At 36.9% G+C, this 19,677-nt stretch overlaps 1 pseudogene across 1 annotated transcript in view, besides 1 other annotated feature; it reads right to left on the reverse strand.

Annotated features, from left to right (window-relative positions):
- Positions 1–19,677, reverse strand: part of RASA4DP (RAS p21 protein activator 4D, pseudogene) — a 69,987-nt pseudogene that overhangs the window by 17,233 nt on the left and 33,077 nt on the right. The window contains exons 2-3 of the transcript NR_146066.1: positions 7,375–7,587; positions 3,312–3,473 (exon numbers count right to left, since the gene is read on the reverse strand). The product of NR_146066.1 is annotated as an RAS p21 protein activator 4D, pseudogene (transcript). The remainder of the gene's footprint in view (positions 1–3,311; positions 3,474–7,374; positions 7,588–19,677) is intronic.
- Positions 11,664–11,788: a silencer, noted in NCBI's record as "fragment chr7:102348051-102348175 (GRCh37/hg19 assembly coordinates)". NCBI's record gives its function as "represses an EF-1alpha promoter that drives an FKBP-Casp9 reporter gene in an ReSE screen in K562 erythroleukemia cells {active_cell/tissue: K562}" and the evidence as "EXISTENCE:reporter gene assay evidence [ECO:0000049][PMID:32094911]".

Here is a 19,677-nt window from a genome sequence, read left to right on the forward strand (position 1 = left end):
CCCCACTCCTGTGTATATACCCAAGATAAGTTCATTCTTAAGTACAAGGCATGCATAAGAATGATCACAGAACTTTATTCATTATCTTCAAAACAGGAAATAATCCATTTTTATAAACAAAATAGAATGGATCAACAAATTATGGTATATTTACACAGTAGTGAGGTAGGAGGCAGAACTCGACTTTGGAGGTGGGGCTTGGACATCACACCAAATTGAGGACTAGCTAAAAGAGGTCTGAGGCAGAAGCACCTCCCCCATTAGACACCAGTGTGCCATGTTAGTTTACTGTTGCCATGGTAACATCAGGAAGTTACTGCCCCTTTCCATGGCATCAACCCGACAACCTGCAAGTTACCAACCTCATTCTAGAAATTTCTGCATAAACCAGTCCTTAATTTGCATCTAATTAAAAGTGGATATAAATTTGAGTGCAGAACTGCCTCTGAGCTCCTATTCCAGGTACACTGCCTATGGGGTATCCCTGCTCCACAAGGATCAGAACCTCTGCTGCTGCAGTTCACTGCCACTTCAATAAAAGTTGCTGTTTAACATCACAACCCTCTCAAGGGCAAGCCTCAATTTGGGGGCTTGACTGTCCTGTATCATCAGGATACTAAGAAGCAATAAAAAAAGAAATGGAACTACCACCACGCATAATGCTATTAATGAACCTCACAACTATAAAAGTGAGCAAAAGCAGCCAGACACAAAGAAAAACATACTGTATGACTCCATTTAAATGATGTTCAAGAAGAGACAAACTAATATATGATAAGCCAGTAGAGTGGTTATCTTGGGTGGGAGCAATGACTGGGAAGGTCTCAAGGGAGACCTCAGGTTCCTGGAAGTAGATCCTGATCAGACTGAGAATATGGTGGGAGAAGAGATAAATCAATGAGATACATATTTAAAGGAGATATTTAACTCTCAAACTGACAAAGAGAATACAGATGATTGGGAGAAGAATGACAAATTCAGTTATGGACATGTTGGTTATAAGCATACATAAAAAACCTGATCTGTACACTTAATATTTGTGAGGTTTACTCTATATGTTATACCTTAAATAAAAATTAACAATATAAAGAAAATGGGACAGGATTAAATATCCAATAGGACAAAAAAAAGTCTGGAGTACCAGGCCTCATAGTTACGCAGCAATGGCCAATTTGGGGAGCAGGTGTCCTACATTAACCCACACAACCCATTGATGGGAGTTGTGTGGCTTGGTTTCCAAACATCACTTAATCACTTTTGTTTTTGAGACGCAGTTTCACTTGTTGCCCAGACTGGAGCGCAATGGTGTGATCTGGGCTCACTGCAACCTCTGCCTCCCAGGTTCAAGCAATTCTCCTGCCTCAGCCTCCTGAGTAGCTGGGATTACAGGCATGCACCACCACACCTGGCTAATTTTTGTATTTTTAGTAGAGACGGGGTTTCGCCATGTTGGCCAGGCTGGTCTGGAACCCCTGACCTCAGGTGATCCGCTCACCTCAGCCTCCCAAAATGCTGCAATTACAGGCATGAGCCACTGCGCCCAGCCCCAAGCATCACTTTGAACATTCATTCCAAGGAGTGAATTAACACAGTGTAGTTCCTGCCCTGTTAGGTCTTATTGCGATCATAGGTCTTAATGTGATCATAATGTCAGTGGGGAACTCTAAATTTTCTTTTTCTTCTTAAAAAAAATAAAGGGATAAGTGTGCAGAATGTGCAGGTTTGTTCCATAGGTCTACGTGTGCCATGGTGGTTTGCTGCCCCTATTGACCTGTCTCTAATTTCCCTCCCCTCAGCCCCCAACCCCCAAACAGGCCCTGGTGTGTGTTGTTCCCCTCTCTGTGTCCATGTGTTCTCAATGGAACTCTACATTTCCTATGCAAAATATTTTATGCTGATTAGTCAAGTGATGTGGGAAGAGTTGAGAGGTTGGAGAAACCCCTGTGAGCTGGCTACTCAGGCAGTTCCCTGAAGGACAAGAGATTTGAGCCAGGATCTCAAAGGTTAGGAACAGACCCAGGGGTTGCAAAGTGCAGTCTATGCAAGCATTTTGTTTGGTTTTTTAGTATGTATGGCACAGCTTAAAAGCAATGGAGGCAATACGACTAGGCAGATTGGTGGATAGCCATGATCTTACATCATGTATTTTGAATTTATGCCAGTTTCCTTAGACATCTGACGTTATTCCTTCTAAATATGGGAGAGTCCCTGCTGAGCGGAACAACATAAAGAGTAGCTCTTGAGAATCTAAGTGAATGACTAGATTGTAAAAGTAGTTTGGGTATAAATTGCAGAGGCCTGTGAATGTCATACTGAACACACTCTTCAGGCAATATGAGACGAGAGCATGACAACCATGCATTGCAACTTGGCAGTGCTGGGACAACTGTGCAACTAGCATTAATAACAATGAATGATATAAGCAGTTTCTGTGTTTTCCAATGTTATGCCAAGCAACTGGACCCTTGGAAGTGGATTTGACTGCTTTCCTTCAGTTGTCATCTGCACTTTTGCCATTTTTGCAGATACAGTTTCTGTTTAAACAACTGAAGGAAGACAAAGAGGTTAAAAGACAAAGACAACTGAAGGAATATAAAGTAGGTTATACACAGTATGTTAAAAACTTGTGAGACCCATAAATTTTAGAGTAATCCTAAAAGAATTAGAAAATAAATTTACAGATGCCAATTAGGAACAATATCTTAGTGGTGTTGTTATGGAAATAAAGTTTTCTCAAGCCAATAATTCTGAATATTCCGAAAGTTTGCAATTTGTCACTGCTTTGAGGAGGAGTTCTCAGGCAGTAAAATTGCTGATATTGATACTACTCAAAAGTGTACGTAGCACAGTTCTTTGAAACTATTATTGAAAGCTCTTGGATATAATTATCAGAGGCCTGTTATACCCAGCGATTAATAACTATAAATTATGCATCCATGTATATTGAGAGATTCTTGAAATATTTATTGTTAGATTGAGGATCAACATGCATGAGAAGTTGTCCTAAGTTCTTTAATTTTGCAAAACAAACCTTAATCTTTGGCTTAGAAAACCTTGAAGATAATCTTTACTATTAGCATAACTTTTGCTACAAATAAACTCAAGTTGTTGTGATTTTTACTGTTATGGCTTCTTTATAAACTGGTCTTAAGGTCACTCTGTGAAGAGTGGCTACAAGCCAAGATAGCTGCTTTTTAGAAGAGCCCTGACGGGCAGGCCGTCAGGTTCCTGTGTGTGAGTCAGGTGAGATACAATGACAACAATGAGAAGGTGAAACCAAACGCATGAAACAGAAGAAATTTATTACTTACAGATCTGACAGCTTAGGGGTGCTGATGGGGAGCGCAGATAAGTCTGGAGGTGGCAGGGAGCTCAGCAGTGGGTAGGGAGTGAGAGAGCAGCTGTGGGAGTTCACCTTTATTAAGGTATATGGGTATTATCCCTCCGGTCTTCTAACAGGAGTTGTGGATTGGCTGGTTTAAGGAAAACACGCCAGAAGGGGGAAACTTATTTATATGACTCTGGTGTTGATCATTAGGTTTTATCACGGTTAGCAGCTGTGGGGTGTTTTGGGTTTGGGATTAGCAGGATGAGAAACAAGTGGGCTATATCTCCACCACACGGGGAGGAGTTATTTTAACTAGTACAAAGATCAGGTATGATTGGGTTTCAAACAACTTATGTCAGACCTAAAAATGCATGACCTTACATCATAAGTGTATGTTGAGTCAACGTCTTTGGTAGCTACTATATCAAACAAATGTATGACACAAGTTTAGCCTTATTTTTGATTTGATTATTAAGGGTAGTGGTGGAGAAGTAGAAATTCTATTGCAAAGTTCGACATATGATGGATTTTGACAGAAATGTGAACTCTTCACTTAAAATTTAAGATTAGAGGAAGGAAATCATGGTTTTAAAAATACAAAGATAAGCATTTCTTTTTCTCCATACCTTTGCCAGCATCCATTGTTTTTGACTTTTTAATAATAGTCATTCTGACTGGTGGGAGATAATATCTCATTGTGGTTTTGACTTGTATTTCTCTGATAATTAGTGATGCTGAGCACTTTTTCCTACTTTTGTTGGCCACATGTATGTCTTCTTTTGAGAAACGTCTGTTCATGTCCTTTGCCTATTTTTAAAATGGGGTTATTTGTTTTTTGCTTGTTGATTTGTCTAAGTTCCTTATAGATTCCGGATATCAGACCTTTCTCAGATGCAGTTTGCAAATATTTTCTCCCATTCTGTAGATTGTCTGTTTACTCTGTTGATGGTTTCTTTTGCTGTGAAGAGGCTCTTTAGTTTAGTTCAGCCACTGTGGAAAGCAGTTTGGAGATTTCTCAAATAACTTAAAACAGAGCTACCATTCAACCCAGCAATCCCATTACTGGGTATAAAACCAAAGGAAAATAGATCATTCTACCAAAAAGACACATGCATTCATACATTCATCACCACACTATTAATAACAAAGATGTGGAATCAATCTAGTGGCCCATCAGTGGGGGATTGGATAAAGAAAGTGTGTTATATATATACACCACAGAATACTATGCAACCATATAGGAGGATGAAATCATGTCCTTCACAGAGACATAGAAGAGCTGGAGACCATAATCCTGAGTGAATTAATGCAGGAAAAGAAAACCAGACACTGCATATTCTCATTTATAAGTGGGAGCTATACACTGAGCACACATGGACAAAAACATGAGAATAACAGACACTGCAGACTACTAGAGAGTGGAGGGAGGAAGGGGAGTGTGGGTTGAAAAACTACCTACTGGGTACTAGGCTTACCACCTGGATGCAATATGCCCATGTACAAAACCTGTACATGTATGCCCTGTATCTAAAATAAAAGTTAGACTAAAAAATATATAAAGATAGATGTAGAAATAGATTTAAATTTGTGTGGATATAAATATTCATGAATCTGTTTCCTAGCTCTGTCCACTGAGAGGGGCTAGAAGCTATGACATTCTAGGATCAATGACCATGCTCAGCATTAATATCTTAGTTTCCAAATATCATTCTCCAGTAACAGGAACTAGGGATCCTCCAAGAAATGGCTGATTCTAGGGCTGGAGCAAAAAAAATACAAGATGAGCCCAGAACACATTCTTGTGCCAGAAAGTAAGGAAGTGCAGAAGGAATCACAGGAGCATATCAGAAGGACAAGTGAGCCTACCTGAAGGGTGTACACTGGCCAAATGTGGGACAATGATAGCATGAAAAGGAATGACAGTGAGAAACCTAAGTCCACACTGATAAAAAGATGAATAAATAAGGAAAGAAGAGAAAGTTCTTCCTTATAGTAGAAAGCCACCTAATAAATATAGAAGAAATGATGGAATTAGAAAATCACCATTTGACAACCATCATAACAAGAGTTGATCTGGGTAAGTATCCCCAATAAATCCCAAACTTGTAGGTGAAAATTTTAAGAGGAGTAAGACAACCACATAGTCTCAGAGTATCTCTTCTTGAGGTGCTTATTAATTTCAAACAGAAAAATAAATAAAAGGTAAATCTGGAAGTCATCACCTTAACCAAGTGATCAAGATGAACAAGTCTAGCAATGGGACAAGGCAACATCATGTGTTCCTAGTAGAAGATAATTGAGAAGGATACAAGATTGTGTCTTTATATCTTTACCAAAAATACATAGCATGAATCTAATAATAAGAAAATCGGAAAAATCCAAATTGAAAGAAAATCACAAAATAACCGGCCTCTTCTCTTCAAAGTGTCAATATCATGAAAACTAAAGAAATCCTGAATTTCCTTTAGATTAAAGGAGACTAAAGAGATGACTACTGAATGCAATACATAACCTAGAATTTTCTTTTGCTATAAAGAACATTATTGGGACAACTGGCAAGACCCGAATAAGGTATGCAGATTAGAAAATGGTATTATATCAATGTTAATTTCCTGATATAATTGTACTATGATTAAGAGAATGAATATATTTTTAGGAAATATAGTGATGCATTTAGGTATAAAGGGGCATCGTGTCTTCAGAGAGAGAAAGAGAGAGGTTGAGAGAACAAGAAGATAGAAAGAAAAGGATAAAGCAAATGTGGTAAGATGTTAGCATCTGAGAAATCTGGGTTAAAGATACATGCAAATTCTTTGCACTAATCTTGCAACTGTCCTGTATATCTGAAATTATGTCAAAATAAAAGAAAAAGTCAAAACTGTAGAAAAAGTGAACAATTTAGCAATTTAGATCCTGTATACACATATATAGCACTATTATTTTTAAAATTACTTTTTTATTGCATTCTGTTCCAATTTGGTTTTGCTTCTTGGTTTTTAATAAACTCTGTTTTTGCTTTAAGACTTTTTAAACTTATTTTTTACTATGACTATCAAATTTCTTAGAATGTTTTATTCAGTTATATAAAGTTTATCATCTGAAATTCAAAAGTCCTCTAAATCATTTTCTAAAGTATAGCTCTCAGGCATGACAAGGTAACAGCTGAATACATAGTCAGCCATTACTTAAAAAAAAACCTCTCCTCATATATGGGTATTTCCTAAATGTTCATCTTGCTTTTTAAAGTTCACATAATGAGAATGTATAATTCATCATATTCCCCTTTTTGCTTATTTGCTGATAGAAAACAGCAGATTTCAGTGCTCCACTGCAGTAACTATAGTTAGTTAGGTAAATATATATTCTTTCTATCATTATATGACAAGATATTTTAATTTTATGGAAGTAAATGTAGTATATGCAATAATAAAAGAAATCTTCTTTATTTCATGTACCAACCCACGAAATGTATGTAACTGACCGAATATATATGCAAATACTTATGCTACGAAAGTATCAGAACCTACACTACTGCATTGGTTCAGAATTACATGATAAATTTTTGGAAGAAAAGGCAGGGACCATTTTGTTTTAGTGTATCAAGTTGTAAATATCACCTACAGGATATATGTAATAAAGAATTTTGATAATGATATTGGCTTCATTTGAATTTTTAAGTACATGTTGAGTTGGGTTTTACTGTAGTAACATATAAAGAAAAATATGCCGGGCGCGGTGGCTCACGCCTGTAATCCCAGCACTTTGGGAGGCCGAGGCGGGCGGATCACGAGGTCAGGAGATCGAGACCATCCCGGCTAAAACGGTGAAACCCCGTCTCTACTAAAAATACAAAAAAAAATTAGCCGGGCGTAGTGGCGGGCGCCTGTAGTCCCAGCTACTTGGGAGGCTGAGGCAGGAGAATGGCGTGAACCCGGGAGGCGGAGCTTGCAGTGAGCCGAGATCCCGCCACTGCACTCCAGCCTGGACGACAGAGCGAGACTCCGTCTCAAAAAAAAAAAAAAAAAAAAAAAAAAAGAAAAATATACCTCATGCAGAAAAATGAAAGCTGGAGTTTCAGATAAATCAACAAACCGCTCATCTTGAATGTTAATTGTGGGCACTATGGCATAAATGGGCTCTTGATCCTTTTCATCTTTCTCCTCTTCCTCTTCTTTTTCTGTGTCTGTGCTACTGTCTTCCATTTTTCACGATTCTAAAATAAAATTAATCCATATGTGGCTATTTAGGAGTATCTTCACCTATAAAGTAAAATTAATGGAAAATAAAAAAATAAGCAAAAAACTGGAATAAGCTATTGTTCAATGAAACTACAAATCAGGAAAGTTAGCTATAATCTCATTATAAAAGACGGCTTTTTTGCAAAGATACTCTCTATTGTTGCATTCAAATCAATCATTCTTATTTTTAAAAGTATGCTACTGTTGCATTAATTGGAAAATAAAAAATATATATGAATTATATATGTAAAATAGATATGAACTATAATGAGAATGCAAGTCAGTATCAGCCTAGACATTTATGAAACAAGAAGCCAGAAACCTCTCCAGCTATCCTATTATAAGCAAAATGTGCTTTCTGATACCTCTATAATCTATACATTGTACATATTTCTGTAGAAAAGTGCTTAAAACAGTGTATTGTAATTTACTATTTTTCATATTGTCTACCTTATTGGACTTCTTAGAACAGAAACTATATTCTTATTTACCCATATACCTTCAACACCTAGCAAATAACATACTTATAATGTGTGCTAAAAATAATTGCCAACGGGACAAACAAGTTCTGCTGTTCTTCTAATGTCCAAAGAATATTACAATTGCAAATAGTTTACTTGAATTTTCAGAAATAAAATGCTTAACACTAAATCAATGCAGTAACAATAATTCATTCACTCCTTATTGGAAAGTTAGTTTGTTCAAAACCAAATTCCCACAGGAGCAAAACTGAGGTTCTTCTGTAATTGCTGTGGGCAACTGCTAACACCAGCTTCGAAAATTTTTTTCCTCAGATCATATTGGCAGGGTGACCCACATAATTTGCAGGACCCAGTACAAAAAAACAAACCTAGGATTCCTTGTCAAAATGTCAGAAAAATGTTCTCTGAAAGTTACCAATATATAAAAAGTTTTTCCTTTAAAAAAATTTATTACTTATAAAATATAATAGGGGTAATAGTAATACATGAATAGCAACAAAAACTAAGTGAATAGTAATGAATCCTAAGAAAATATTTTTGATGTCACAATTTTATATAATAAAATAACAATAATGTAATATCTTGATTGATCATAAGATTTTTCTGGCTCACTTTTCTGCAAATTAATTTACTAGATCATCAAAATTTATACTCATTGTAATTTCATTTTTAATTGATCAAACTGAAAGTGATGTGAGCTGCTCTTGGGAAATGCAAGATCATAAATAATTTTTGGCAATTTTTAATTTGAGAAGAATCTTCCTGCTCATGCATCTTTCACTGAAGTTTATAAGAATATTTATAGGCTGTGATAACATTTAGATAAATTTCTGATAAATCATTTCAAAATATAACCTTTTGAGCTAATGATTCTCATAGAACAATTTTCTAAAAAGATTTAACTCTTCATAAAAATCAGCTTCCTCTGTGAATTTAATTTTAAATGTACATTTATTCAACATTCATTTTAATGTATCCTCTGACAATTCCTGTAACTTCTGGAGGTTGTGCAATAATCCAAAAGTGGCTTTATATTTTGTATATACACCAGAACACTTGCTTATATGCATTCTATTGCTGTATGTTCAATTACAAAAAAAAATAAAATTTAAAATGGTCTTTCTTGTTCATACTTCATTTATTCAAAGCTTCATAAGCTTTATTCAAGCTTGGAAAACTATTATTTTCTGTCACATGCAATCATCTTTAATTTCTATTCCTAAACTTATGGATATTTGATTTGTAATATTATAGTAATTTTCAAAACTGGAGATTTTAAACTCTTTGAAGAATTCTAATAACTCCTTGACATGTTTTATTGCAATGTCTGTGTGTTTGCTTTTATTTTGTAATATTTTACTAAAAAAGTTTTCTGCATTGAGTGCCAATAGTTTCTTTCCTTATTATATGTGCAGATACCACAGAGACAGGTGCTGGGGACAAGCCTCCCATGGTAGGTTCCAGAACTGTCCCCATGCAGGCCTCTTCTTTCTCCTGAGGCCATCACTGATGTAGCTGTCCCTATTACTTTTGTTGTCATGTTGCTTCTGCTGCTATTGCTGCCATTGCTTTTGCCAATCTGCACTCAAGTGCTGGCCTGGCTGCCTTGGGACTCTGTGATACCCCAAACTGCCCTGATGCATGCATTTGAGCACCAGGCCACAGGCCTATTTGCTTGGCACCCACACCCTCTGCCACAGCCATCGATTCAGGCCTGTGCATGTGCACACTGCTGCCTGGCCTATCTGTGCTGCTCATGTGAATGTTCAATTGTTCCAACAGACTTTATTTACAAAACTCAAGCTCAAAAATAAAATTTTAAGTATTTAAAAATGGTGACAGCAGGGCATTAAACCAAGTGCAGGGCCCCTCTGAGAGCAGGTCCTTGTGTGACTGCATAGGTCATACATCTATGAGGCTGAAGCTGGCCTTGTATATTAGCCATCGATTTGGTCATGTATTCAAGCAGATCCACAACAGTTTCTAAAAGGACTCTGTCTTAGTCAGCAAGGGCTCCATTGGTCCACTTTGGTGACACTGGGATGACTGCCCTTCTGGAGAGAGAGCAGGCAAAATGCCTCCATTGCATAAGAGAAAGCCAATATCATCATCAGCTCTTTTTGATCTCTGAAATACATGAATCTTCACTGAATCAACAGAATATTATACTTACACTCTTCTCTTGCCAGAGAAGATAACTGCAATTGTCATGCTTTTAGGGTCTGATCTTCTGCTGAATATGTATCATTTCTCATGTCAATCTCATTGGATTGGCTGTTCCTTGATGACACTGAGCCTCACTCTATAACATGGAAAGCACATTCCATCATAAGAAGCCAGAAGGCTTGGTAGGTTCTGGTTCTTGAATGTATTAGTCAGGTGGTCACAGACATATCATTTATTCATTAAATTTACTCCTCTCTAAAATGGGTTAAAATTAGTAAGACAAAACAACAACAAATTTTTATGTTTCAAAAAGATGTGCAGATTAAATGTGATAATGCCTCTGGGACTTGAGCTTCACTCTATCTCTAATTTTCTGCCAGCCGGAAATTATACATGTACTTGTTTTCCTCTTCCTGCTGCTACAACAATACTTCAGAGGTGGTAACATATACTTCCATCAGGAGGCTCCAAATATCTGATTGTCTGTTGTTATGTGATGTTAATAGCCAGTGGTATCATTTGACTTCCCTTTCTTTAACACGTTTGCTTTTTTCAATGCCCTAAAGTGTTTTTTTTTTTAAATAACCATTATTATTATGGCATTACAATACTTTATATTTGCTAGGTAATCACAGTTTATTGCTTAAATCTTCAAGCAGCTAAAAATGGTTTGGCTATATATTTAAATTTGTTTTGTGAATAAACTAAAATATGTACACTCAATCCTTTCATGGATATTAAATGTGAATGAATATCCCAGAAAAATATTTCCTTCAGAACATTAGGCTATATCTTATTTAACTTTTTTATTAAGAAGTTTTTCAAAGGCCGGGCATGGTGACTCACGCCTGTAATCTCAGCACTTTAGGAGACAGAGGCAGGTGGATTACCTGAGGTCAGGAGTTCAAGACTAGCCTGGCCAACATGGTGAAACCCCATCTCTACTAAAAATACAAAAAAAATTAGCCAGGCATGGTGGCATGTGCCTATAATTCCAGCTACTTGGGAGGCTGAGGCAGCAGAATCACTTGAACCCCGCGGGTGGAGGTTGCAGTGAGCCGAGATTGCGCCATTGTACTTCAGCCTGGGAGAAAGAGCGAGACTCTGTCTCAAAAAAAAAAAAAAAAAAAAAGAAAGAAAGAAAAAGTGTTTCAAATATAAACAAAAGTAGCAGATTAGTACAATTATTCCTCAAGTACCCATTAACGAGCTTCAACAAATATCAATTAATGAGCAATTTTATCTATAACCCTTCCACTTCCCCTTTGAACTCTCTAGATTATTTTGAAGCAAAACCTAGACAATTAGACTTAATAATATATCCTAAAGAACTTTATAGGAATATACAGAGATAGACCTCATCCCTTTTCATACCTGCATAGCACTCCTTTGCATAGATGCACCATAGGTTACTCAATTTCCTATTTATAAACATATTGAATATTTCCAGTTTTCTGCTATTACAAAAGGGTTGCAAAGTATAGTGCATCTATTTATTTTAAAAATAGGTATATATGTGTATTTTTTTTTGAGACAGAGTCTCGCTCTGTCTCCCAGGCTGGAGTGCAGTGGTGCATTCTCTGCTCACTATAACCTCTGCCTCCCAGGTTCAAGTGATCCTCCTGCCTCAGCCTCCAGAGTAGCTGGGATTACAAGCGTGTGCCACCACACCCAGCTAATTCTTGTATTTTTAGTAGAGACAGGGTTTCACCATGTTGGCCATGCTGGTCTCGAACTCCTGACCTCAGGTGATCCACCTGTCTTGGCCTCCCAGAGTGCTGGGATTACAGGCATGAGCCACCACGCCTGGCCTTGAAATCTTTATAATCAAGATGGTATTAACTTTGAAAACTTAGGTTCAGACAATTTCTCAGAGCACTGCACCTTTAAATATGATGCAGCTTAACTAGGCAACAAATGATAAGTACCATGCTGAATCTGTACAAATTCTTCAGTTTGCTAAAGTTTTCAATCTCTATTATTCTGAAAACATTCTAAATATTTTAGAGCAAGTAAAGTATTTACACAGGGAAGCAACTAAAAGACACTACAACAGAGTTCTGATAGAGATCATCAGAAAAACTTTAACCTTTAGAATAAAAATACTTAGGCATACATTTAACCAAGGACATGAAAGATCTGTACACTGGAAACTATAAAACTATGGTGAAAGAAATTAGACATAAATAAATGGAAAGGTATCCCATGTTATGGATTAGAAGAATTAATATTGTTAAAATGGTTTACTATACAAAGCAATCTACAGGTTCAATGCAATCCCTATAAAATTCCAATGGCACTTTTTTCACAGGAATAGAAAAAAAATCCTAAAATTTATATGGAACAATAAAAGACCCCAAATAGCCAAACCAACCTTGAGCAGGAACAACAATGCTAGAAAAAATCACATGTTCTGATTTCAAATTGTAGCACAAAGTTATAGTAATCAAAACAGTATGGTGCTGGCATTAAATAAAAATAAAAGACCAATGGAACAAAATAGAAAGCCCAGAAATGAACCAATGCATATACAGTCAAGTAATTTTTGGCATGGATGTCAAGAATGCACAACATAGTTTCTTCAATACAGGTGTTAGGGAAATTGGATAGCCACATGCCAAAGAATGAAATCAGGCCCTTGTTTTACATCACACACAAAAGTTAACTCAAACTAGATTAAAGAATTAAACATGAGATCTGAAAGCATAAAACTCCTAGAAGAAAACATAGGAAAAAAGTCCTTGACATTGGTTTTAGTGATTATATTTTGGATATGACACCAAAAGCATGGGCAACAAAAGGAAAAATAAAGTGAGATGACATCCAACTAAAAAACTTCTGCACATCAAAAGAAACAATCAACAAAATGAAAAGGCAACCTATGGAATAGGAGGAAATATTTGCAAACTATATATGTGACAAGGGGTTAACATCCAAAACATACAAGGAACTTATACAACTGAATAGCAACAACTCAAATAATCCCATTAAAAAATGGGTAATGGAGCTGAATAGACATTTTTCCAAAGAAAACATACAAATGGTCAACAAGTATGTAAAAAGTTCATCAACATTACCAACCATTGGGGAAATGCAAATCAAAACCACAATAAGATGTCGCCTCACACCTGTTAGGATGGCTATGATTGAAAAAACAAAAGATAGTAATTGTTTTTCTTTCTTTTATTATTATTATACTTTAAGTTTTAGGGTACATGTGCACAATGTGCAGGTTAGTTACATGTGTATACATGTGCCATGCTGGTGTGCTGCACCCATTAACTCGTCATTTAGCATTAGGTATATCTCCTAAAGCTATCCCTCCCCCCCTCCCCCCACCCCACAACAGTCCCCAGAGTGTGATGTTCCCCTTCCTGTGTCCATGTGTTCTCATTGTTCAATTCCCACCTATGAGTGAGAATATGCGGTGTTTGGTTTTTTGTTCTTGTGATAGTTTACTGAGAATGATGATTTCCAATTTCATCCATGTCCCTACAAAGGACATGAACTCACCATTTTTATGGCTGCATAGTATTCCATGGTGTATATGTGCCACATTTTCTTAATCCAGTCTATCATTGTTGGACATTTGGGTTGGTTCCAAGTCTTTGCTATTGTGAATAATGCCACAATAAACATACATGTGCATGTGTCTTTATAGCAGCATGATTTATAGTCCTTTGGGTATATATCCAGTAATGGGATGGCTGGGTCAAATGGTATTTCTAGTTCAAGATCCCTGAGGAATCACCACACTGACTTCCACAATGGTTGAACTAGTTTACAGTCCCACCAACAGTGTAAAAGTGTTCCTATTTCTCCACATCCTCTCCAGCACCTGTTGTTTCCTGACTTTTTAATGATTGCCATTCTAACTGGTGTGAGATGGTATCTCATTGTGGTTTTGATTTGCATTTCTCTGATAGCCAGTGATGAAGAGCATTTTTTCATGTGTTTTTTGGCTGCATAAATGTCTTCTTTTGCGAAGTGTCTGTTCATGTCCTTCGCCCACTTTTTGATGGGGTTGTTTGTTTTTTTCTTGTAAATTTGTTTGAGTTCATTGTAGATTCTGGATATTAGCCCTTTGTCAGATGAGTAGGTTGCAAAAATTTTCTCCTATTTTGTAGGTTGCCTGTTCACTCTGATGGTAGTTTCTTTTGCTGTGCAGAAGCTCTTTAGTTTAATTAGATCCCATTGGCAATTAGGCAGGAGAAGGAAATAAAGGGTATTCAATTAGGAAAAGAGGAAGTCAAATTGTCCCTGTTTGCAGATGACATGATTGTATATCTAGAAAACCCCATCATCTCAGCCCAAAATCTCCTTAAGCTGATAAGCAACTTCAGCAAAGTCTCAGGATACAAAATCAATGTGCAAAAATCACAAGCATTCTTATACACCAATGACAGACAAACAGAGAGCCAAATCATGAGTGAACTCCCATTCACAATTGCTTCAAAGAGAATAAAATACCTAGGAATCCAACTTACAAGGGATGTGAAGGACCTCTTCAAGGAGAACTACAAACCACTGCTCAATGAAATAAAAGAGAATACTAACAAATGGAAGAACATTCCATGCTCATGGGTAGGAAGAATCAATATCATGAAAATGGCCATACTGCCCAAGGTAATTTATAGATTCAATGCCATCCCCATCAAGCTACCAATGACTTTCTTCACAGAATTGGAAAAAACTACTTTAAAGTTCATATGGAACCAAAAAAGAGCCCGCATCACCAAGTCAATCCTAAGCCAAAAGAACAAAGCTGGAGGCATCACGCTACCTGACTTCAAACTATACTACAAGGCTACAGTAACCAAAACAGCATGGTACTGGTACCAAAACAGAGATATAGATCAATGGAACAGAATAGAGGCCTCAGAAATAATGCCACATATCTACAACTATCTGATCTTTGACAAACCTGAGAAAAACAAGCAGTGGGGAAAGGATTCCCTATTTAATAAATGGTGCTGGGAAAACTGGCTAGCCATATGTAGAAAGCTGAAACTGGATCCCTTCCTTACACCTTATACAAAAATTAATTCAAGATGGATTAAAGACTTAAATGTTAGACCTAAAACCATAAAAACCCTAGAAGAAAACCTAGGCATTACCATTCAGGACATAGGCATGGGCAAGGACTTCATGTCTAAAACACCAAAAGCAATGGCAACAAAAGATAGTAATTGTTGATGAGAATGTGAAGAAAAAGGAACACTTGTACACTGTTAGTGGGAAGGTAAGTTGGTAAACCATTATAGAAAACAGTATGAAGTCTCCTCAAAAAGTAAAAAATAAACCTTCCTTATTATCCAGCAATTCTTCTGGTTATATTTCCAAATGAATCGAAATCAGGATCTCGAAGCGCTATTGGCACTCCCACGTTCATTTCATCACTATTTACAAAAGCCAAGATATGGAAACAACATAAATTTCCATGGACATATGAATGGACAAAGAAATTGCGATATATGTATACAATGGAACATTTTACAGTCATAGAAAAGGAAATTCTCCCATTTGCAACATCATGGATAGAAAATGAAATATTTAGGCAGACAGAGAAATACAAATGCTATATGATCTCACTTATATATGGAACTTAAAGCAGTCAAACTCATAGAAGCAGAGTGGGATGGTGGTTGCCAGGGACTTGGGGTAGGAGAAACTGGGGAGTAATAGTTAAAGAGTACAAAATTTCAGCTATGCAAGATAAATAAGTTTTGAAGATCTACTAGACAGCATAGTGCCTGTAGCTAACAATACCCTATTGTATACTTAAAATTACTAAGAGATTAGATCTTATGATAAAGCAACAACAAATATAATAATACAGGGGGTGGATAAAACTTTGGAAGGTGAGAGATATGTTTATGAGATTGATGATGGTTGATGGTTTCATGGGTGTATACTTATCCCCAAACTCATTGAGATGTATACATTAAATATGTACAGTATTTTATACATCAACCATACCTCAATAACGTGTTTTTCAAAAAAGGAAAAGACAGGGAGAATGAGTAGTGAAAGAAAACCCAACAGAGGCAAATATAAAAAAGTCTGTGTGAATTAAAACAAAAAAACACTAATTAATCTAATTAAATAGGCAGGAAAGGACTTAACCAGATAACAAAGTTTAATGGATAAAACAAATATCTGGCCGGGCGCAGTGGTTTACGCCTGTAATCCCAGTACTTTGTGGTGTGGAGGTGGGCGGATCACGAGGTCAGAAGTTAGAGACCAGCCTGGCCAACATGGTGAAACCCCGTCTCTACTAAAAATACAAAAATTAGCCGGGCGTGGTGGTGGGCGCCTGTAATCCCAGCTACTCAGGAGGCTGAGGCAGGAGAATCATTTGAACCTGGAAGGCGGAGGTTGCAGTGAGCCGAGATAGCGCCACTGCACTCCAGCCTGCGCAACAGAGTGAAACTCTGTCTCAAAACAGAAAACAAACAAAAAAAAACAATAAATATCCAAAGACAGTTAATATATTGGATTGCAAAGCCCATTGTATTAATAGTTCCATATTGCAGGCAATATGATTGACAGCTGTAAATAAAATAATAGAATAAAGTATATTCTCAGGCTACGGTGATATGAACAGAGAATGTTTAATATAACACCTTAAATTCCTGGCATAGGAAGAACTACATAGCCATCAGGTATGGTAATTCTAGAGACTTATATCTCCAGAATGCCTAAATCAATTAAGTAAATATTTATTGAGTTTTCCTATAAAGAATTTACAAATATGCAAACAATGTATAATCTGAAGAGAAAGTAAGGCAGGGAAAGAACTAGTTCTCTGTCACATAAGCTGAGGTAAAATAAGCCCAAATAAAAAGCAACGTTCTTAGGAGAGTAGATAGGGCTGAAAAAGTAACTGGTAGCCTGGAATTTGGGACTTGAACTCTAGGCGTTGGGAGCCATGGCAGAGTTGTAAAGATATTGCTGACAATGAGAAGAATGGCTTGGAAAAGGAGTGAATTTAGAGGAAAGGAAACAATCTGGAGGCTGGGACCCAGCCACTGTGCTATGGGTAGGAGATAGGTACCGTGGTGAGCAAGACCAGACAAGGTTCCTGACCTTAGGGGACCCAGAGACTGGCAGCAAGACAAGTTAATCAAAAAATCACAGACATAAAATTCTAAACGTTTTAACTGAAATTGGTGCTATGATAACTTGAACCACAGAAACAGGGTGGCCACACACTTCACACTTACAGGGAGCACCACTGGCATAGCAAGTTCTGCAGAGAAGCAGCCCCCACTGGAAGGAGGCAAGGCAGTACCGTGAGATGCTGTAGGAGTCTGAAGAGAAGAGGATGTGGTCTTAAGGGGATTTTAAGAAAGCAGAGGACATGAATAAGCCAAAATAGGAAGCTTCACAAAGAATAATTAAGCCATAAACATTGCAGGGTACCCCTTGTTTTGTAACACATATCAGTAATTCCTCTTCTTCAAACGAAACATAGGTGATCATCATTTTGTTTTGATTTTGAATTCTTAAGGAAACATTTCTAGATAGTTACAAGGAGCATGTGTAAAAACCAAATACTGCATGCTCCAGAGAATGGGGCAGGATACACAAACAATGTGACTTTTGGACAATAAAATGGCAATGCTTCAAGAAAGCTGTAGCAGAAAACCACACGGTCTTTCAATATTACTCATCATTGAACAAGCACAGGTTTTGCTCATTTTAGAAACAGCAGGGTGTAATGTAAAGTTGAACATGATTTATTTCTCTCCTAGTCCCACACAGAACCTGAGTGTTCTTTTTTGTGACTTGGCTCTTCTGACTGCCCTGAAGATAAGATTGGGTGCTCCTTCCCCCAGCAGCCCATTGCTCTACAAGGTTAATTACAACATGTTTCTACAGGAACTCAGAGCTGACCCCTTGGAGGAAGGGAGAACTCTGGGACACTTCCATTTTTTTGTTTTGTTTTGTTTTAGTTTCCTAACATGTTAAAAAACATAGAAACTTCAAAACAGGGTTACAAAAATTGTGGTATAAAGTTGTATGACAAGTGCCTTCAATTCTGTCAGTGTATCTCTGGTAATTATATGTATATTATCTTTTGGAGATAACATTAAAAGTCTATAAAATTTAAGGCTCATCCTATGGGGCCTCTGGTCCACTATATGACAGGCTCAGAATATTGGGCAGCCAATCTGACATGAGGCATACCTCAGATCCATTTAATGGACAACAACAACAAAATCAGATGGAACTAACTTAATAGTCCTAAAAGCCACAGATAAAATGATTGCAGTTATTCCTGCCTAGATTTTATATTCTATGTACAATTATACAATGCTTATTTTTACCATACAAAGACAATGTTAGACTTGAAACATTTTTTAAGATATAGATACATATTTTATTTTATTTATTTTTATTTTTGTGGGTACATAGTAGGTATATATATTTATGGAGATGCTTTTTTTAAAAAAGTAAAAATGTTATTCAAAGACCCAACAAATCAAATCACAACATTTTTTTTTTCCTAAAAGGAATGATAAAGAGGACTTTCGAAAAAAGAATCCTGAAAAGAAAAGAATCCTACAGAAAAAACAAAAAGAATCTTAAAGGAAAAATGAAAACTCTTGCAGTAAATATGTACAGATAAAAATTGCTTCATAATTGAAGTGTTAAAGTAACAATGGGGTTTGAACTACCTTCAATTAAAACCGCACAAACGCACAAATAGAAAAACTCTGAAAGAAAGCTTCAAGTGCATATCTGGCCTTTAAAGTTAATGTTCAGACATGTTAAACAGTTACCTCTTAGATTATATGCATGTGTAATCCATGAGGAATCTGTTAATTGCAACATGATGGTGGAGAACCCAAGTCTCTATTACAGAATCAGCACCCCTCCCGAGGATGGAAGGGTGCTGAGAGAGCTCTAGGCCTTCTCCCTCATTTCACCATCCCCTTGCTTTCCTTTGCCCATTCCTACCATACCCCAAGCACAGACCCAAGAAAAGATCCTCACTCTCTCTTTAAAGCATCTTATATATTTTTTCCCTTTTTTCTCGGAAACCTACATAATCAAAACAAGCTCTGTATTACTCATTTCTGAGTAGGTATAACATGTGGGCTCATGATGGGGCAGCACCTTACATGAGGCAGAACTGCCATAGAAACAGACGTGATGTGTTTCCAACACACCCTCCAGGTTGCCCTTGTCAGCATGCAAGCACTCTTGTTCAGGGCGCCTAATAATAATATTTATATAACCCTTCACAATTTAAACAAAACTTTCCCTTGTATTACTTCACTTTGTCCTAACAACCACATACCATAAGAATTATCTCCATTTTGTACAGGAGGAAATTGACAATCAGAGAATATAAATGATGTGCCCAAGATCACACAGCAAGGATTGGCAGTATTTATTTAAACCCATGTCACCTGGCTCCAAATCCCTCACTCTTTCCTATTATACCATACAA

The sequence above is a fragment of the Homo sapiens genome, chromosome 7 (assembly GCF_000001405.40).
Source record: "Homo sapiens chromosome 7, GRCh38.p14 Primary Assembly".
Taxonomy (NCBI): Eukaryota; Metazoa; Chordata; class Mammalia; order Primates; family Hominidae; genus Homo; species Homo sapiens.